At 38.5% G+C, this 23,043-nt stretch overlaps 1 protein-coding gene across 31 annotated transcripts in view; it reads right to left on the bottom strand.

Annotated features, from left to right (window-relative positions):
- ATP9B (ATPase phospholipid transporting 9B (putative)) overlaps positions 1-23,043 on the bottom strand; it is a 308,890-nt gene that overhangs the window by 279,391 nt on the left and 6,456 nt on the right. For 16 of the 31 annotated variants that reach the window (XM_017025726.2, XM_011525963.3, XM_017025727.2 and 13 more), the window contains exons 2-3: positions 20,736-20,911; positions 2,244-2,417 (exon numbers count right to left, since the gene is read on the bottom strand). In XM_017025726.2, the coding sequence (XP_016881215.1) occupies positions 2,244-2,417; positions 20,736-20,857 (296 nt within the window). In that variant the 5' untranslated portion in view covers positions 20,858-20,911. Of the gene's footprint in view, positions 1-2,243; positions 2,418-11,214; positions 11,872-20,735; positions 20,912-23,043 lie in introns of those variants that run through there. The other 15 variants (NR_148360.2, XM_011525964.3, XM_047437489.1 and 12 more) reach the window with 3 other exon arrangements.

Raw genomic sequence — 23,043 nt, 5'->3', positions numbered from 1 at the left:
GATGTTCATTCTTCAAAAATGTCAATGGAATGAAAGATAAACACTGAACTACTACTCCAGATTAAAAGACACTAAAAAAGCATGCCACCTAAATGTGACATGTGACCATATCCAGTACTAGAGAAAATAAGGCTACAAAGGACATTACTGGGATGATAGACAACATTGAAATATAAACTTAAAGTAGATACAAAGCATTGTATCAATGTTAAATTTCCTGAATTTGATAACTGTACTAAGGTTATATAAGAAAATACCTATTTCTTCATGTGTTTTTTGGCTGCATAAATGTCTTCTTTTGAGAAGTGTCTGTTCATGTCCTTCGCCCACTTTTTGATGGGGTTGTTTGTTTTCTTCTTGTAAATTTGTTTGAGTTCATTGTAGATTCTGGATATTAGCCCTTTGTCAGATGAGTAGGTTGCGAAAATTTTCTCCAATGTTGTAGGTTGCCTGTTCACTCTGATGGTAGTTTCTTTTGCTGTGCAGAAGCTCTTTAGTTTAATTAGATCCCATTTGTCAATTTTGGCTTTTGTTGCCATTGCTTTTGGTGTTTTGGACATGAAGTCCTTGCCCACGCCTATGTCCTGAATGGTAATGCCTAGGTTTTCTTCTAGGGTTTTTATGGTTTTAGGTCTAACGTTTAAATCTTTAATCCATCTTGAATTGATTTTTGTATAAGGAAGGGATCCAGTTTCAGCTTTCTACATATGGCTAGCCAGTTTTCCCAGCACCATTTATTAAATAGGGAATCCTTTCCCCATTGCTTGTTTTTCTCAGGTTTGTCAAAGATCAGATAGTTGTAGGTATGTGGCGTTATTTCTGAGGGCTCTGTTCTGTTCCATTGATCTATATCTCTGTTTTGGTACAAGTACCATGCTGTTTTGGTTACTGTAGCCTTGTTGGTGGGACTGTAAACTAGTTCAACCATTGTGGAAGTCAGTGTGGCGATTCCTCAGGGATCTAGAACTAGAAATACCATTTGACCCAGCCATCCCATTACTGGGTATATACCCAAATGACTATAAATCATGCTGCTATAAAGACACATGCACACGTATGTTTATTGCGGCACTATTCACAATAGCAAAGACTTGGAACCAACCCAAATGTCCAACAATGATAGACTGGATTAAGAAAACGTGGCACATATACACCATGGAATACTATGCAGCCATAAAAAATGATGAGTTCATGTCCTTTGTAGGGACATGGATGAAATTCGAAACCATCATTCTCAGTAAACTATCGCAAGAACAAAAAAACCAAATACCGCATATTCTCACTCATAGGTGGGAATTGAACAATGAGATCACATGGACACAGGAAGGGGAATATCACACTCTGGGGACTGTGGTGGGGAGGGGGGAGGGGGGAGGGAAAGAACAAATAAAAAATAAAAAAATAAAAAATTAAAAAAATTAAAAAAAAAGAAAATACCTATTTCTTAGAAAATACACACTGAAGAATTAAGAAGAGGAATGAAGTAATCAACCTAGTCTGAAATGACTCAGAAAAATAATGATATAAAAATAATAATAAAATAAATGTAGCAAAATGTGGGGAAAAATATAGGTGAATCTGAGTAAAAGATATACCAGAGGAGTATAGGCCCATATCTATCTTTTGGGAAGAAAAAGAAAAACCATTTATAAATGTTGATAGAGCAACCATTATTAATTCTATCATGCATTAGCTATAAAGTCACTAATTTTCTCTAGCTTTTTTTTTTTTTTTTGAGACAGAGTCTTACTCCATTGCCCAGGATGGAGTGCAGTGGCTCGATCTCGGCTCACTGTAACCTCCACCTCCCAGGTTCAAGTGATTCTCCTGCCTCAGCCTCCCTAGTAGCTGGGATTACAGGAGCTCACAATCTCGCCCAGCTAATTTTTGTATTTTTAGTAGAAATGGGGTTTCACCATGTTGTCCAGGCTGGTCTCAAACTCCTGAGCTCAAAGTGATCTGCCCGCCTTAGCCTCCCGAAGTGCTAGGATTACAGGCATGAGCCACCACACCCGGCCTCCAGCTTTTAACCATTAAAACTTCTCGTAAGATAATAATTTGGCTTTCCTTTCCTTTCATATTAGCATTGTTTGGCTTTGATTAATGTACTGATAATCTCCATGATATCATTTAAGGAATATCTCCTTGAGTTTTTATATTAATATAGCTAATAAGTATATTAGAAGCTAACCTTATAAGTAACCTTAGCATATAAGGAAATTAGGTAGCAATGGATAACAAACCTGGTACAGAGGAACTTCCAGCCATCACAGACAAACCACTCCAGTCCTCTTTTCCTTTGCATTATCCTGGCTCGTGGTAAGGTGTGGTAATCACTTTCCTCATTCTCAAAGCCTTCTTCAGACATCATTAGTGGCATTTCATCCAAATGCGCAGACTCATCCTCCAGCTGGTACCTAGTTAGGGTAAAAATGGAGTGCTGAGATAGGCCAAGCAGTCTTCTTTACAGTGTGTTTCATTTAGGGACAATATTTCCTCAAATTAGGCTGTCTTCAGCTGAGGGAAAGCATTATAAATAAGACTGCAGAGGCTGCTTTCTTTTGCAAAGGAATAAGTTAGCTAAGGTAAAAAAGCTGCCCAACGAGACCTGTGCTAGCTGAAGAAGTCTCTGTTAACCGTGCTGTGAGCATAATCCTGGAGGCATCTGTGGTGCGGATGGGCAGCCTGACAGCACAACCAATGCTGCTCAACAGCTCCTCACTGCACTTAATCCAGTCAGAAAAAACCAATCTTCTGAAACATGACTATAGCAAAGAATGTTCACTCCAAGCAACATCTAAACACTCTATGTTACACAACTTTAAGTCATCAACCAACATTCTAGAAGTGACTTTCGACAGTATGTAGCTGTCTGTATCTGAAAGGTATCAACATCATCCCTTGGTTTGCTGACAGTTTATATCTTTGGGGAATGATGCTATGTCCCATTTATTCTGTTATTCTCTTCACTAAAATGCGCTATTCAATGAAAAAATCTCAACAACCAGCAGACCTTTTAAAGCTCAACAATCCTCTTGATTTCAAGAAACAGGCAGCCTATCATCAAAACTGTTCCTTTTATCCTTCCTCAATCACAAATGTAATTTATCTTTAAAAAATAAAAACTTACCTTTTTGAGAACAATTTGTCAGAAACTATAATGGTGATTCAACAAGTGCTGTCTTACTGAATTTTGCATCAAGTATTTGTGGAGGCATTGTCTCAATGTAAAAACTGAGAAAGCAGACTCGTGGGTTCCTCTGGGATAAAGGCAGTCATTTATATTGAAATCTTTTTTAACATTCTCTAAATTCCATATAGAAGACAGCTAAAACTAACCAAAACCCACTATTAAAACATAAATAAGGGACAGAGATAGTACCATCCTTAATTGACACATAAGGAGAAAAGTAAGTATTCCAAACCAACAAAGCCAGGTCCAGAGTCCAGTCTGGATCACAGCCAGGCAGCTTAGGGGGAAAACAGGACTGGGGGCCCTAGCAACGGCAGACCATGGATGAAAATTATACCCAGAAAGAGTCTAAGGGCAATAGGTCTGTGATCACAGCACTGGTTACTGGGGGACCTACAGGAGGGTGCATAGAGCCAAGGCAGCAAGCTTGGTTAGTAAGGCATCAATGTTGGGGGCAGAAGTCCACATGGGAAGAAGGATGCACCTCTTGAAAGGCTTGTTGGTGAGGGGAAGGAAAGGAGCAATAAGTGGAAATTAAGAGCTCTTCAGAAACAAAAAATAGGAATCAAACACATAAGCAGGCAATTATAGCACATTCTGCTAAAGTGCAATTTAGAGATAGGTCAGTATTGTGGAAGACTTTTCTTTTTTCAAGAGAATACAGGGAGTCTCAGGAACCCAGTCATTCAGTCCTCACTGCCTAGAAAACTCAAAGAGAAACAGCACGTTTTAAGTACCCAGAGGCCAAAAGGCATGGGTGATATGAAGGTACGCGTATGCAGTGGCCGAGTGTACATGTCGTGTACGATGGAATCATATTTCTGATCACAACCTGTCATATTTTCATTCCTAGTAATTCTTCCTCCTTTCAGACCTCCAGTTGATGGGGCTGACACACACAGTTTCAAGACAAGGGCAGCTTAGCTCCAGGTATCTAAAACAGGCTCTTGAAATCCAATGCAGAGTTCTTGTCAAAGTGAAGACTCTATCTGCATTGCCCACAATATGCAGAATGCAAACTCCAGAAGAAACCCACCCTTTCTAGCCACAGCCCCAGCAAAGGGGGCTCTTGCAAAGCAGAACGTTTTTTTCTTTTTTCCTTTTTGTTTCTCCTAGCCCTATTAGGGCTACACTGTAGTCACCTTCTATGAGAGCAAGGGAAACAGGAAGATGGGCTCCTGGAGTCCAAACAGGATGTGGACGTCCCTGGTAGTTCTCTCTTTTCACACAACTTTTCCCTGAGAACTGTCCCAGTCAGGTGGACCTTCACAACAACACGAACAGCTAAAACTCTGAGAGAAAACCCTGACTTTCAGAAAGCATAAAGCTGAGAAAAAACAACCCTGGAAATTGGAGACATGGGATAAACCAGACAGTGGAGAAAGCTGGACGAGGGATGCCCTAATTCTGTATATGAATCAACAGAAGTCCCAGGCTCACCCCCGAGCTGCAAAAATGTGCCCAAACCCAAATAAGCACAGGACAGGCTCTGGGAATTACTCAGGTCCTACACAACAGGCCCTGACAAGCACTGGCGGGGAGCAGATGGCACAGCCAAGGCTTTGCAACTGAACTGACATTGCAACCACCACCCACTGGTGGTGAAACAGAACTGGGGGTCTAAACCTACCCAGGTCAATGCACTGTTAAAACATTCTTCAAAGGATTATGAGACCCAGAATCCCACAACACAATATTCAAAATGTCCAGGATACAAGCCAAACTTAACTCAACATACAAAGTAACAGGGAAATATGGCCAATAGTCAAGAGAAAGAACAACCAACAAATGCTAATTGCAGTATGAAAAACATATTGGAATTTTAAAACAGCCATTATATCCACGCTCCATGAGATAAAGTTGAACAGTCTTGAAGTGAATAGAAAAACAGAAGTTCTTTTTTTCTTTTTTTAAAAATACTCTACAAGCATCCTAGGGTAGACAGAAATTCTAAGCAGATGGGGGAGGGGGTGTGTGCACACGCACCCATGCATACACACTATTTCTCTATATTTATATATGAAAAGGTCTAACATGCATGTCATTATTAGAATACCAGAAAAGATTGAGGCAGAAAAATATGTGAAGAAAAAAATGGACAAAAGCTTCCCAAATTTGCTGAAAGTAATTTACTAATTAAAAAAGCAAACTTAAAACAGGATGAAGTCAAAGATACCTACATAAAGATACATCATAATCAAACTACTAGAAGCAAAGATGAAGGAAAAAATCTTGAAAGCAGCCAGAGAAACACAACTCATTACATATAGAGGAACATCGATTCAAATGCCTGTAGATTTCTCATGGAGAAAAACGGAGGCCAAAGCACAGTGGAACTTGATGTTTGAAGTGCTAAAAGAAAAGAACTGTGAAAGCAGAAGTCTACATCCAGCAACAATGTCCTTCAGGAATGAAGGCAAAACAAAGATGTTCTCAGATGAAAGAAAACTAAGAGACTCTGTCAACCTTACTTTAAAAGATTAAAAGTAAAAAAAATGGAAAAATAAACAGTTAATCGCTGCATAATGACATACCAGTCAACAATGGATTGCATATAAAACAGTGGTCCCATAATAAGGAAGCTGAAAAATTCCTAACACCTAGTGACATCACAGCCATAATAACGTTCACAGTATAATGCATTACTCACATCTTTGTGGTGATGCTGGTGTAAATCAAATCTATTGTGCTACCAGTCATTCATATAAAAGTCGAGCATATACACTTATGTACAGTACCTAATACCTGACAATCATAACTAATGACTATGCTATTGGTTTATGTATTTACTATACTGTATCATTATTATTTTAGATCAGACATTTTCTATTTATTTTTTAAAAAGCTAACTGTAAAACAGCCTCAGACAGGTCCTTCAGGAGGTATCCCAGCAGAAGACACTGTTAACACAGGAGATGACAGCTCCGTGTGTTACTGCCTTCCCAGTGACATAATGCGGAGGTGGAAGATAGTGATATTGATGATCCTGACCCTGTATAGGCCTAGACTAATATGTGTGTTTTTGTTTCCGTTTTTAACCAAAAAAAAAAAAAAAAAAAGTTTAAGTAAAAATAAATTTTTTTAAAAAAGAAAAAAGCATATAGAATTAGAATATAAAAAAAGAAAATATTTTTGTGCAACAATATCTTCATGTTTTAAACTAAGCGTTATTACAAAAAAGTCAATAAGTTTTTAAAAATTAAAAAAATTACAAAGTAAAAAAGTTCCAGTAAGCTAAAGATTAATTTACACACTGTAAATTTGTGTCCTGTATGATTTTTTATGTTTTATACTGTATTTTACTATGTTCAGTATGCTTAGATACACAGATACACAATTGTGTCACATCTGCCTGCTGCATTCAGTACAGTAACATGCTGCACAAGTTTGTAGCCTAGGAGCAATAGGCTATACCATATAGGCTAGATGTGCAGTAGTCACTATCATCTTGGTCTGTTTGAGTACACTCTAGGATGGCTGCACAACAATGAAATTGCCAAACACATTTCTGGAGTGCAAAACTCAGTATCTAGAGGAAGTATTTTAAGTATTAATGGTATTTAACATTTCTCAGAACATCACACCCCATCCTTCAACAACACATGACTATATATAATGCAAACACTAGTCAAAAGAAAGCCAAGTAGCTATATTAATATAAAACAAAGACATCAAAAAAAGAACTGCCTAGCATAGAGGGACATAACGCAATAATAAAAGGATCAAATCACCACTAAGATCTAAAAGTCCTAAATATGTATGCACCTACCACCAGAGCTTCAAAACACATACAGCAAAACCAATACAAGTGGAAAGAAAAATAGACAAATCCACAATAGCAACTGAAGACTTCAAAACTCTCAGCCCACTGTCACCACTGTTACTCGACATAGTACTGGAAGTCCTAGCTAGAGCTATCGGACAAGAGAAACATATAGGGGGAATCCAAATTGGAAAGGAAATAATCAAATTATCTTTGTTTGCTGATGATACGAACGTATATTTGCAAAAACCTAAAGATTTCACAAGAAAACTATTAGAACTGATCAATTCAGTAGTTGCAGGATACAAAATCAACATACAAAAATAAGTAGCATTTCTATATGCCAACAGTAAACACTGTGAAAAAGAAATTTTAAAAGTAATCCCATTTACAATAGCCACACATAAAATTAAATACCTAGGAATTAACTTCACCGAAGAAGTGAAAGATCTCTATGATGAAAACTATAAAACACTGATGAAGGCAATTGAAGGATACCAAAAAATGAAAAAATATTCCATGTACATGGATTGGAAAAATCAATATTGTTAAAATGTCCATACTACCCAAAGCAATCTACAGATTCAATGCAATCCCTATCGAAATACCAATGACATTCTTCACAGAAATAGAAAAAACAATCTGAAAATTTATATGAAACTACAAAAGACCCAGAATAGTTACAGCTATCCTAAGCAAAAAGAACAAAACTGGAGGAATCACATTACCTAACTTCAAATTATACTGCAGAGCTATAGTAACCAAAACAGCAAGTTACTGGCATAAAAACAGACACATAGACCAATGGACCAGAATAGAGAACCCAGAAACAAATCCACACATCTATGGTGAACTTGTTTTTGACAAAGGTGCCAAGAACATATACTGGGGAAAAGACAGTCTTTTCAATAAATGGTGCTGGGAAAACTGGATATCCATATGCAGAAGAATGAAAATAGACTCCTATCTCTCACTGTCTACAAAAATCAAATTAAAACACATTAAAAGCTTAAATCTAAGACCTCAAACTATGAAACTATTACAAGAAAATATTGGGGGAAATCTCCAGGACAATGGTCTGGACAAAGACTTCTTCGGCAATACCCCTCAAGCACAGGCAACTAAAGCAAACATGGACAAACGAGATAGCATCAAGTTAAAAAGTTTCTGCAGAACAAATGATACAATCAACAAAGTGAAGAGACAACCCACAGAATGGGGGAAAATATTTGCCTATTTGCCAACTACCCCTTTGACAAGGGATTAATAATCAGAATTTATAAGGAGCTCAAACAACTCTATATGGAAAATTCTAATAATCTAATAAAAAATGGGCAAAAGATCCGAATAGACATTTCTCAAAAGAAGACATACAAATCACAAACACGCATATGAAAAGGTGTTCGACATCGCTGATCATCAGAGAAATGCAAATCACAACTACAAACAGAGATCATCTCACCCAAGTTAAAATGGCTTATACCCAAAGGACAACCAGTAACAAATGCTGGCAAGGATGTAGACAAAAGGGAACCCTTGTACACTGTTGGTGGGAATGTAAATTAGTACAATCACTGTGGAGAACAGTTTGAAAGTTCCTAAAAAACTAAAAATTGAGCTACTATATGATCCAACAATCCCACTGCTTGGTATATACCAAAAATAAAGGAAATCGATGTTATCAAAGAGATACCTGCATTCCTATGTTTGTTGCAGCACTGTTTACAACAGTTAAAATTTGGAAGCAATCTAAGTGTCCATCAACAGATGAATGGATAAAGAAAATGTGGTACATATACACAATGGAGTACCATTCAACAGTAAAAAAGAATAAGATCCAGTCATTTACATCAACATCAATGGAACAAAAGGACATTATTTTAAGTAAAATAAGCCAAGTACAGAAAGATAAATATCACATGTTCTCACTCACATGTGGGAGCTTAAAAAAGAGTTGGACTTATGGAGACAGAGAGTAGAATGATGCTTATCAGAGGCTGGGAAGGGTAGTGGAGAGTGGGGGACAAAGAATGGATGGGTAATGGGTATAAAAATACAGTTAGATACAAAGAATAAGATCCAGTGTTCAGTAGCACAACAAGGCAACTATAATTAAGAGTAACTTATTGTGTATTTCAAATAACTAAAAGAATAAAATTGCAAAGTTCCTAACACAAAGAAATGATAAATGCTGGAGGTGACGGATATCCCAATTACCCGATTCCATCATTACACATTGTATGCATGTATCAAAACATCATATGTATCGCATAAATGTCTATAAACATTATGTATCTATAATAACGAATAATTAACAATAATTTTTTTTCATAAGACTGGAAGTGAGGGAGAGGTCTTCCTTAGATCACCCAAGATGCTAGGCCCCAAGTAGTGACATCTGGAGGAAAAGCAACCAATCTCTGAAGGCCTAAAAAGACTGGCCAACTAGCACAGAGACCTTGAAGAGAGCCACAACACAAAGCCAGCTGGGCACGTGCACAGTGGGCCAAGGGGAGCAGGACACCAGAAGCAGCTGAAGAGATGGGCAGGAACAAGGGACACAGTGCAGGCCAAGCAACAGGAAGGGGTTTAATTTTAAGTGTAATGGAAGGCTATTGGAAGGTTTTAAACCTGGAATAATTTTTGTTTTCACAAAGGACTTTTTTTTAATAATTTTTCATTTCCATAGGTTTTTGGGGAACAGGTGGTATTTAGTTACATAAGTTCTTTAGTGGTAATTTGTGAGACTGTGCTGCACCCATCTCCCGAGCAGTATACAATGAACCCAATTTGTAGTCTTTTATCCCTCACTCCCTTCCCAACCTTTCCCCCTGCATCGCCAAAGTCCACTGCATCATTCTTATGCCATCACAAAGGACTTTTAAAATATGCAAATTCAAACAAGAAGAGACCATGTCTTGCTTATCAAATGTAAAAAAGAATTCTTAACATTCAATATGGCCAACGGTCTTGGATAAACAGGCACTCTTAATCGCTGGTAAGAGTGGAGAACAATTTGTGACGATGCATTGAAAGCTTTTTATTTCTGTAACGTAAATAAACTTTAACCATGGTTTCTCATTATCCCACGGAAATTTAAAATGTGTTCAAGATTTCTCTACAAAGATAACCATCACTGTGCTGTGATGTTGAAAAAGACCAAAGGAAACATGGCAAAAAGCATAGTATCCATGAATAAATAATTGGTGAAATATACCATGGAATAGAATATTGTCACTAAAAATAATCACAAAGAAGACCTTTGTTGAAAGTAAATGTGTTAGGAGAAATGGCAGTCACTTCTTTTCACCCCTCTTTTAAACACCCTACTCTACCAATCAAAATGTTACTTGCTTTAGTGTCTCCAGATAATCTTTTATACACAACTCCAACCACTATCGACAGCATCACAGAACAACCTCACAACATACAAGTTTCATTATAATTTAGGCAAAAAATTACATGATCTATGAAGTAACAGACTAAAACATTAATAATATTTTCCCTTAAAATGTCATTTTTTTCTTCTCTGTATGAGATCACTTCTTTTAAAACAGTCAACTAGAAAATGAGTATTTATACAAAATGTGAATAAATTCAAACCACCACATAAATATATTGTAATATAATACCCTAAATGAGACTTTTGATCTTTTTCATTAAGTTATTCAACAGTTATGTCTTATTTTAGTAAAAGTCACAATCCTATCAAGTTTAATGCGGGAAACGCAGCACAACGAGTTCTGAAAGATAAGGAATATAAGCAACATCATGTTTTGTAACCTCAACTCCAGAAATGGAGCCTTTGAACTGGCAAGCAATTTATTCCATTTCCAAGGCAATTTTCCTATTGTACTGAAAATTTTACCTCAGTATTTAAAAACAATAAGATGATGAATAATGGATTTTTTTCAGAGACAGGAAAAGCGCAGAATCTTAAGTGTCTTTGTTGCCTGGTGTCATACACACTTAATTGGTTTGTCACTCAAGAAAAATCAACGTTTCCAGCAATTAACTATAATTCTGGAAACATATTTTTAAAATGAGTAAAAACAATTATGAACAAAGATGACAGAATGGATGATACCAAACCCAAGAGCACTGCCATGCTAAGAAACAAGGACAGCTATCTGAACTGCAGCCAAAGGTTTCAAAAAAAATTAGGAACTCTCAAGTACTGGAAGGCACATAAGTTACACATAAGTTACTAAGTAAAAGTTACTAAGTAAATCATTACAATAACTAGCTTAAAACTTACATTTTATCTTAAATATCTAAGCCTTATTGTTTCCATTTTGATGAGAAACACTTCTTAGAAGACAACTGATATTAAACGAAGAAATAGATTTAAAACATGTCTAATGCTCAAAGCTTCTTTAAAAATAAACACTCCCACTTTGCCTGCATGTTAATAAAGTAGAAAAACAAAGCAAAAAACTAAGTGCTATAAAGAAATGTGCATATTTCCTTCATCAAATACAACTACAAGTTTCAACTGTCATTGATAAGTCATTACTAAGCAGCAAGCTGCATAAACTAATGAGAAATTGGGACTCTCCCTCCAATAGCAGCAAAGGAGACAAATGGTGCTACGGTTGAAATGTTTTTGTCCCCTCCAAATTCATGTGTTGGAAGCTTAATCCTCAATGCAACAGTCTTAGAAGATAGTGCCTAATGGGAAGCATTTAGCTCACAATAGTTCCGCCCTCATGATGCATTAATGCCATCATAAAGAGAGCATATTGCAATGGGTTTGCTCTCTCCTGCTCTTCTGCCATGTGAGGAAACCACATTCATCCTCTCTTGCCCTCCCATCTTCTCCCATGTGAGGACACACCAAGAAGGCCTCACCAGACGTCAATACCTTGATCTTGGACTTCCCAGCCTCAAGAAGTGTGAGAAATAAATTTCTGTTCTTTATAAATTATCTAGTCTCAGATATCCTGTTACAGCAGCACAAAATGAACTAAGACAAAGGGCAAGATGTTAAAATAAATAAATAACCCAGCAGACAAATGAATAAATAAAATTTAAAGGGATGGCTGCCTGAAAAATATGCCTTGACTTTAGTAGCAAAACCCAGGAAAAGGAACATGGAAATAGTCCCTTGAGCTGAGATGTCATTTCCCCCATGGGAATCATATATACAATAACCTTGGAGCTAATGATTTCTAAAATGTTCTACAAGAAAACTGAACACCAATTTCTTGAAATAAGAAATAACACTGCTATACATAAATTGAGAAAAACTTCTGAATTAGAGTTAATGGTACAATATCCAATGTTATATAAATGCAAACCCAAAAATTTGAAGCTATATAGCCAATTAGCTCAGGATACATACTTCAGTTACCTAAAATTGTGATGTTCCCTACTATCAACTCTGTCTTCATGCTAATACTATTAGGTGTAAAAAAAAAAATAAGTAAAACATTTCTATTCTGGCAAGTGTAAATAATTTTTTAAACTTGAGATTTTATCTTTTTTTTTTTTTTTTTTTTGAGATAGAGCCTTGCTCTGTCTCCCAGGCTGGAGTGCAGTGGTGCAATCTCAGCTCACTGCAACCTCTGCCTCCCAAGTTCAAGCGATTCTTCTGACTCAGCTTCCTGAGTAGCTGGGATTACAGGCACCCGCCACCACGTCCAGCTAATTTTTACACTTTTAGTACAGGGTTTCACCACCTTGGCCAGGCTGGTCTCAAACTCCTGACCTCAGGTGATCCGCCCACCTTGGACTCCCAAAGTGCTGGGATTACAGGCGTGAGCCACTGCACGCAGCCTACGGATGCCTTTTAAAGGAAATTCTTATAGACCCCCTAAGAAAATGTCTCTGATTCCAATGAATCCTGGGACTGGACAATTAGATAAACACTGTCTTAAGAATTAGTACTACGCCTTAAAAAAAAAAAAGGCTTTTCAATTGTGAAACATCACAGCAAAATAAGTTTCATTTTTACAACTAGTAAAATATTAGACTATCATAATTATCAAAGTTTTATGATTCATAGAAAATTGTGTATAGACTCAGAATGAGAAATCTAGTATTAAAAAAAACTGTGTTGCTTCTACTAAGAAACACTAATATTTTCCCAATAATCAGACAGTAGACATCTGTTCTTAACATTAGTATCTTTCAGTGCTAACACTTAACTATTGTAAGATTGCAAATGGCTCTGGGCAGGGCCAATAGTCACACTGCTGGCAAAAGCAAAGAAAAACTAATAATGGACATGGATAAACAAAACAATAATGCTCAATGTCATTCATTCTTCATTCAACTGCAAAGATAAGTTGAATGACACCACTATCACTTAAAACACAAAAAAGGGAAATACCAATTTAACAAATACCTTATTTTCACCCAGATATCAACAATGCGAAGGAAAAATCAGTATCTCACATGACTTTGTAGAAAACAGACTGAACAAGTAACTGCGTTCCCAGTGAACTATGAGCTACTATGTGTGGCACACGTCATTTTGTTTACTTAATGACATATGAAAACCGTAACATCTTCATCCTCGATGATAATAAAGGCAATGTGCTATTGAATTTCTTAATCTTCCTTAACCATATGCTATGGTTTGGATGTGTGTCCCCTGCAAATTTCATGTTGAAATGTGATCCCCAATGTCAGAGGTGGGGCCTAGTGGGAGATACTGAATCATGGGGTAGGGGGTGGTCCTCTCATGAGTCCCCATGGTGATTGATAAGTGTGTTCTCACTCAGTTCACGTGAGATCTGGTTGTTTATAAAAGTCTGGGACCTCCCATTCTCTCTCTTGCTCCCTTTCGTCATGTGACATGCTGGCTCTCCAATACCTTCCACCATGATTGTGTACTTCCTGAGGCCTCACCAGAAGCAGATGCCAGCACCATGCTTCCTTAAAAGCTTACAGAAGCACGAGCCAATTAAACCTTTTTTTTTTTTTTGTAAATTACCCAGCCTCAAGTATTATATTTCTTTATAGTAATGCAAGAATGGACTAACATCATACTCAAATCACATCTAATTCTTCCCTTGGAAATTTTTATAAAATATAAGCCCAGTCATGAAAATTTTTATACAAGTTTTAACAACTAACCAACGTTATCTTTTAAATACACTGTGTCCTAAAGTAGTATGATTATAATGAAATAAAAATAATTCCACTTCAAGGAAAACCTGAGAACTTTTAAAATACAATAAGTACAATTATTTATACATAAGAGCAAAATGTCATTTTCAAATGGTCAAGGAAGGAAGCTTTCAATGCTCACAAAGCGATGTAAAGCTCATATGAAAGCTGTTTTTCTAATAACTATTTAGTTTTCAACCGCCAATGTGGATATCTAGGCTGCATAATGTAAAATTCTGTTTCTCGTAAATTAAGACAATACGCTTACATTTTTTTTTTTTTTACTTTTACTCTATTATATAGCACACACTTCCCAAAGTTTAAATTGGGAAGTGAATTAAGTTTATAGCAAAATTGTCATGTTCTAATATTTCTATTTTGGGAAATGTGTGCCATTCTGAAATTAGTGACTTGTTATAAATAGTTAAAATGGTAAATTTTAAGTTACCTATATTTTACCACAGTGAAAAAACTCTATAGATATGGTGGTTGGGGGATAGGTGGAATGGAAAATGATGGGATAGGGTTGGTAGGAAAATGATAGGGGTACTCATACCCGGGGTACCCAACGGGGTACAAACTTTCTTTTGGACATGATGAACATGTTCAAACACTGACTTTGGTGAGTTACATTTATCTATGAATATTCCAAAAAAAAAAACTGAGCCAGGCGCAGTGGCTCACGCCTGTAATCCCAGCAATTTGGGAGGCCGAGGCGGGTGGATCATGAAGTCCGGAGATCAAGACCATCCTGGCCAACATGGTGAAACCCTGTCTCTACTAAAACAAAAAAAATTAGCCGGGCATGGTGGCACGTGCCTGTAGTGCCAGCTACTTGGGAGGCTAAGGTAGGGGAGTCGCTTGAAGCCAGGAGAGGCTGCAGTGAGCCAAGATGGCGCCACTGCACTCCAGCCTAGCAACAGAGAAAGACTCCCTCTCAAAAAAAAAAAAAAAAGAAGAAGATGGTCAATAGGAACAGCTCTGGTCTGCAGCTCCCAATGAGATCAAGGCAAAAGGCGAGTTATTTCTGCATTTCTAACTGAGGTACCCAGCTCATCTCACTGGGACTGGTTAGACAGTGGGTGCAGCCCAAGGAGGGCAAGCTGAAGCAAAGTGGGGTGTCGCCTCACCCGGGAAGCACAAGGGGTCAGGCAAACTTCCCCACCCCTAGCCAAGGGAAGCACTGAGGGACTGTGCTGTGAGGAACAGAGCATTTTGGCCCAGATACTACGCACTTCCCATGGTCTTCGCAATCCGCAGACCAGGAGATTCCTTTCGATGCCTACACCACCAGGGCCCTGCATTTCAAGCACAAAGCTAGGTGGCCGTTTGGGCAGACACCGAGCTAGCTGCAGGAGTCTTTTTTCATACCCCAGTGGCGCCTGGAATGCCAACAAGACAGAACCGTTCACTCTTCTGGAAAGGGGGCTGAAGCCAGGGAGCCAAGTGATCTACCTCAGCGAATCCCACCCCCACGGAGCCCAGCAAGCTAAGATTCACTGGCTTGAAATGCTCGCTGCCAGCACAGCAGTCTGAAGTCAACCTGGGATGCCCAAGCTTGGTGGGGCAAGGGGCGTCTGCCATTACTGTGGCTTGAGTAGGTGGTTTTCCCCTCACAGTGTAAACAAAGCCGCTGGGAAGTCTGACCTAGGCAGAGCCCACCACACCTTGGCAAAGCCACTGTAGCCAGACTGCCTCTCTAGATTCCTCCTCTCTGGGAAGGGCATCTCTGAAAGAAAGGCAGCTGCCCCAGTCAGGGGCTTATAGATAAAACTCCCATCTTCCTGTGACAGAGCACCTGGGGGAAGGGTAGGTTGTGGGCACAGCCTCAGCAGACTTAAATGTTCCTGCCTGCCACCTCTGAAGAGAGCTGTGTATCTCCCAGCACAGCGCTTGAGCTCTGCTAAGGGACAGACTGCCTCCTCAAGTGGATCCCTGACCGCCATGTATCCTGACTGGAGACACCTCCTAGCAGGGGTCAACAGACACCTCATACCGGAGAGCTCCGGCTGGCATCTGGCAGGTGCCCCTTTGGGACGAAGCTTCCAGAGGAAGAAACAGGCAGCAATCTTTGCTGTTCTGCAACCTCCGCTGGTGAAACCCAGGTAAACAGGATCTGGAGTGGATCTCCAGCAAACTCCAGCAGACCTGCAACAGACGTGCCTGACTGTTAGAAGTAAAACTAACAAACAAAGGAACTGCATCAACATCAACAAAAAGGACATCCACACAAAAACTCCATCTGAAGGTCACCAGCATCAAAGACCAAAGGCAGATAAATCCACGAAGATAAGGAAAAACCAGCACAAAAAGGCTGATAATTCCTAAAACCAGAACGCCTCTTCTCCTCCAAAGGATCACAACTCCTCACCTGCAAGAGAACAAAACTGGACAGAGAAGGAGTTTGACAAATTGACAAAAGTAGACTTCAGAAGGTGGGTAATAACAAACTCCTCCGAGCTAAAGAAGCATGTTCTAACCCAATGCAAGGAAGCTAAGAACCTTGAAAAAAGGTTAGAGGAATTGTTAACTAGAATAACCAGTTTAGAGAAGAACATAAATTACCTGATGGAGCCGAAAAACACAGCACAAGAACTTCATGAAGCATACACAAGTATCAATAGCCAAATCAAGTGGAAGAAATTATATCAGAGATTGAAGATCAATTTAATGAAATAAAGCGTGAAGACAAGATTAGAGAAAAATGAATGAAAAGGAATGAACAAAGCCTCCAAGAAACATGGGACTATGTGAAAAGACCAAACCTATGTTTCATTGTGTGAATGAATGTGACGGGGAGAATGGAACCAAGTTGGAAAACACTCTGCAGGATATTATCCGGGAGAACTTCCCCAACCTAGCAAGACAGGCCAACATTCAAATTTAGGAAATACAGAGAACACCACAAAGATACTCCTTGAGAACAGCAACCCCAAGACACATAATCGTCAGATTCACTAAGGTTGAAATGAAGGAAAAAATGTTTAGGGCAGCCAGAGAGAAAGGTCGGGTTACCCACAAAGAGAAGCCCATCAGACTAACAGCAGATCTCTCTGCAGAAACCCTACAAGCCAGAAGAGAGTGAGGTCCAATATTCAACATTCTTAAAGAATTTTCAACCCAGAATTGTATATCCAGCCAAACTAAACTGAAGGAGATAGAGACACGAAAAACCCTTCGAAGAAAAGGGTTTGAAGGGTTTTTCGTGTCTCTATCTCCTTCAGTTTAGTTTGGCTGGATATAATGAATACCCAGGAGCTGGTTTTTTGAAAAGATTAGCTGAATAGATAGACCACTAGCCAGACTAATAAAGAAGTAAAGAGAGAAGAATCAAATAGACACAATAAAAAATGATAAAGGTGATATCACCACTGATCCCACAGAAATACAAACTACCATCAGAGAATACTATAAACACCTCTATGCAAATAAACTAGAAAACCTAGAAGAAATTCCTGGACACATATACCCTCCCAAGACTAAACCAGGAAGAAGTTGAATCCCTGAATAGACCAATAACAAGTTCTGAAACTGAGACGGTAATTAATAGCCTACCAACCAAAAAAAGCCCACGACCAGATGGATTCACAGCCAAATTCTACCAGAAGTACAAAGAGGAGCTGGTATCATTCCTTCTGAAACTATTCCAAACAACAGAAAAAGAGGGACTCCTCCCTAACTCATTTTATGAGGCCAGCATCATCCTGATAACAAAACCTGGCAGAGACACAACAAAAAAAGAAAATTTCAGGCCAATATCCCTGATGAACATCAATGTGAAAATCCTCAATAAAATACTGGCAAACCGAATCCAGCAGCACATCAAAAAGCTTATCCACCATGATCAAGTCAGCTTCATCCCTGGGATGCAAGGCTAGTTCAACATATGCAAATCAATAAACGTAATCCATCACATAAACAGAACCAATGACAAAAACCACGATTATCTCAATAGATGCAGAAAAGGCCTTTGATAAAATTCAAAACCCCTTCATGCTGAAAACTCTCAATAAAGTAGGTATTGATGGAATGTATCTCAAAATAATAAGAGCTATTTATGACAAACCCACAGCCAATATCATACTGAGTGGGCAAAAGCTGGAAGCATTCCCTTTGAAAACCAGCACAAGACAAGGATGCCCTCTCTCACCACTCCTATTCAACATAGTATTGGAAGTCCTGGACAGGGCAATCAGGCAAAAGAAAGAAATAAAGGGTATTCAAATAGGGAAAGAGGAAGTCAAATTGTCTCTGTTTGTGGATGACATGATTGTATACTTACAAAACCCAAAATCTCCTTAAGCTGATAAGCAACTTAGCAAAGTCTCAGGATACAAAATCAATGTGCAAAAATCACAGGCATTCCTATACACCAATAGACAAAGAGCCAAATCATGAGTGAATTTCCATTCACAACTGCTACAAAGAGAATAAAATAACTAGGAATACAACTTATAAGGGATGTGAAGGACTTCTTCAAGGAGAACTACAAACCACTGCTCAAGGAAATAAGAGAGGACACAAACAAATGGAAAAACATTCCATGCTCATGGATAGGAAGAATCAATATTGTGAAAATGACCATACTGCCCAAAGTAATTTACAGATTCAATGCTATGCCCATCAAGCTACCACTGACTTTCTTCAAAGAATTAGAAAAAAACTACTTTAAATTTCATATGGAACCAAAAAAGAGCCCACATAGCCAAGACAATCCTAAGCAAAAAGAACAAACCTGGAGGCGTCATGCTATCTGACTTCAAACTATACTACAAGGCTACAGTAACAGTATAGTACTGGTACCAAAACAGAGTTATAGACCAATGTAACAGAAAAGAGGCCTCAGAAATAACGCCACACATCGAAAACCATCTGATCTTTAACAAACCTGACAAAAACAAGCAATGGGGAAAGGATTCCCTATTTAATAAATGGTGTTGGGAAAACTGGCTAGCCATATGCAGAAAACTGAAACTGGACCCCTTCCTTACAACTTATACGAAAATTAACTCAAGGTGGCTTAAAGACGTAAACGTAAGACCTAAAACTATAAAAACCCTAGAAGAAAACCTAGGCAATACCATTCAGGACACAGGCATGGGCAAAGACTTCATGATTAAAACACCAAAAGCCATGACAACAAAAGCCAAAATTGACAAATGGGATCTAATTAAACTAAAGAGCTTCTGCTCAGCAAAAGAAACTACCATCAGAGTGAACAGGCAACCTATAGAATGGGAGAAAATTTTTGCAATCTATCCATCTGACAAAGGGCTAATATGCAGAATCTACGAGGAACTTAAATTTACAAGAAAAAAACAAACGAATCCCATCAAAAAGCAAGCAAAGGATATGAACAGACACTTTTCAAATGAAGACATTTATGCGGCCGACAAACATATGAAGAAAAGCTCATCAGAGAAATGCAAATCAAAACCACAATGAGATACCATCTCACGCCAGTTAGAATGGTAATCACTAAAAAGTCAGGAAACAACAGATGCTGGAGAGGACATGGAGAAACAGGAACACTTTTATACTGTTGGTGGGAGTGTAAGTTAGTTCAACCATTGTGGAAGACAGTGTAGCAATTCCTCAAGGATCTAGAACCAGAAATACCCTCTGACCCAGCAATCCCATTACTGGGTATATACCCAAAGGATTATAAATCATTCTACTATAAAGACACATGCACATGTATGTTTACTGCAGCACTACTCACAATAGCAAAGACTTGGAACCAACCCAAATGCCCATCAATGACAGACTGGATAAAGAAAATGTGGCACAAATACACCATGGAATACTATGCAGCCATAAAAAAGGATGAGTTCATGTCCTTTGCGTGGACATGGACGAAGCTGGAAACCGTCATTCTCAGCAAACTAACACAAGAACAGAAAACCAAACACTGCATGTTCTCACTCATAAATGGGAGTTGAACAATGAGAACACATGGACACAGGGAGGGGAACAACACACACCGGGGCCTGTCGGGGTGTGGGGGGCTAGGTGAAGGATAACATTAGGAGAAATACCTAATGTAGATGATGGGTTGATAGGTGCAGCAAACCACCACAGCATGTGTATACCTATGCAACAAACCTGCACATTCTGCACAAGTATCCCAGAACTTAAAGCATAAAAAAAAAAAAAACTGAACTATACACTTTAAGTGGGGTAACTTGTATGTATGTAAACTATATCAAAAAAGCTGTTAAAAATGAGTAAATGAAGCAATTTTAAAATAAAAAAGAGTAAATAAAAAGAAGAAAAAAGAAAAAATGTAAACTGCTCCTTCCTTCCAGTTCTAGACCAAGATGGAGTAGATGTGCTACTCCCTGTTCTTCCCACTAAACAGATAAAAACCCTGGACATTATACATCAAAATGTGGAGAGAAGAGGGCAGACCAGTAAGGTCCTTGGACCCAGAGAACAAGACAACAGTGAGTTTCCAGTATTTCCTTTTGGTCTCATGCCCATGTTGTGTACTAGAGAGTTAGCAACCAGAAAAGTAATAGACACAGACCAAAAAAGTCCCCAAGAAAAGTCTGGTCTCTCCAGCCAAAGGACCAGGAAAAGGGCAGCCTAGTGGAACGAAAAATTTTTGATAGTAATTGCTATATCCCATCCAAAGACGACAGAAAAAGCAAATAGCCTCACCTACATTGAACAGCAAAGAGTGCGTGAAGCCTGGACTCCCACACGCCCCAGCCGTAGGAAGACACTCTCCCCATTGCCCAGGTGGTGTCAGGGCAGACCAAGTCAGGAGTGGGGACATCCATCCAAGCCTGGCAGTCATTGTAGGGTACATGCACAAGGGTGCCGGATGCTCGTTCCTGTTAAAGTTTCAAAAAATTTAGTTTAAAGATCGAACCGGCTTTTATTAGCAAATCAGGCAGTATTTCATCTATGAAATAGAAAGATACTCAGATATGCTGAGCAGCAGAGGTAAACTTTACAGCCAGAGAGGGCTGCAGAAAGCAGATACGAGGAACAAAATACAGATTGGGCATTTCAAAGTTACTTTCCTTACAGGGTAAAGTAGAGAGGACTCTCTTATGCTGGCTCAGTTTGGCCCCCTTATGATTGGTTGCTGTGAACCTCTTGTTTTTGAGGAAACTGGTCTGTTTTTAATTTAGTTTGATTGTGGCACCTAGCACAAGTGACTCCATTCTGGTTTGTTCTGGTCTGCTTTGCCTGGTGCAGGAGCTTAGTCTGAAATAATGGCCTCTGGTACATTGTATTTAACATCCCCAAATAGCAGTAATAAAGCATTCCTGCCCATCTCTATAATGTCAGAGGAGGCCTAGTGAAAAGTGGAAAATCTAACCACCTTCTAAAAGGTAACACCACCCATGCAATGTCAGTGGAGGCCACAGGCATGCAGTAACCAGGCACTCCTCCCCTTCCCAGCCAAGGTATTGTTAGCAGAGACCACTGGGGAGCCAGCAGTCACATGGTACCTTCCCTTCCCAGATGTCAAAGGGGGCTGTGAAGGGAATCTGGCTCTTCAGCCCCTTCTGGCAGTAACCCCCACATTCCACTCCCACCACCACCAGGCCCGATAAGCAGAAGATTTAAATAAGGTCCCAAATCTCATAACATAATACCCAAAATGTCTAGGCTATACTGGAAAATCACTCATTATCCCCAAAACCAGAAAAATTTCAACTCAAATGAGAAAAGAGAATCAATAGATGTCAACATCAAAACAACACAGATACTGAAATTATCTAATGAGGATTTTTAAACACACATCATAAAAATGTCTCAATGGACAATTATGAACAGACTTGAAACAAATGAAAAAATATAAAGTCTCAGAAGAGACACTGCTAGTATGAGGAAGAATCAACTGGAAATTTTGAAACTAAAAATCTTAATGGATGGGCTCAACAGTAAAACTAAAAAAACGAGGAAGAAAAAATCAGTGAACTTTAAGAGAAAATAACAGAAACTGCCCAATATGAACAGGAAATGGACTTAGAAAAAATGAGCAGAAACTCAGGACCCTATGGTACAAGAAAAGATTTCACAAGGTGTCACCAGGGTAAAAGAAGGGACGGAGAGTAGAGCTCAAAAAGCACTCAAAGAATGGCTGCAAACTTCTCAGATTTGACAAAAGACACAAACTTATAGAATTAGGATACTAAGCAAACCCTAAACAGGGTAATCCTGAAGAAATCCATACCAAGACCCAGAACAGTCAAACGACTAAAAACTAAAGACTTAAAAAAAATGCTTGAAAGTAGTAAGAGAAAAGTGACACCTATCTCAAAAGGAAAAACAACTCAAATGATATCAGATTTCTCATCAGAAAGCACGGAGACCAGAAAGAAGTGGCATAACACTTTTCAAGTTCTGAAAGAAAAGAACTGTCAACTCCGAATTCCGTATCTGGTGAAATTATCCTTCAGGAATGAAGGAGAAATACAGGCATCTTCAGATGAAGGAAAACAAAGAGAATTTGTTTCCAGTAGACTTACCCTAAAAGAATAGTTAGAGAATTACTGAAACAGAACAAAAATAAGAAATTGTGGACTATCAGGAAATAAGAAAACAGAAAGGGCAGAAAGGGTAGATGAATATAATAGGCTTTCCTTTGCCTCTTGAATATTCTAGATTGAGAGAAAGCAAAAATTGTTAACACTGTCTGATATAGGGTTCTAATTGTATATAAGGGAAATATTTATATACTTTTACATATGTAAAATCTACATACACTTTTACATGAGTATTATATTACCAATGGGAGAATAAAGGGATTTAAAGAGGTAAAGCTCTTACACTTTACCCAACAACCGTTAAAATACCAACAACAGTACACTGCAATGAGTTATGTATATGTAATGTAATTCCTAGAGCTAGCACTAAGTAATATCTACACAAAGAAATACACTGAAGAACGCTATAGATAAATCAAACTGGAATTCTAAAAAATGTTGAAGCATAATCCGTAAGGCAGGAA

The sequence above is a fragment of the Homo sapiens genome, chromosome 18, assembly GCF_000001405.40.
Source record: "Homo sapiens chromosome 18, GRCh38.p14 Primary Assembly".
NCBI classification, from domain to species: Eukaryota; Metazoa; Chordata; class Mammalia; order Primates; family Hominidae; genus Homo; species Homo sapiens.
Note: the sequence above shows the minus strand (reverse complement) of the source record. Positions and strands in the feature narration are given on the sequence as shown.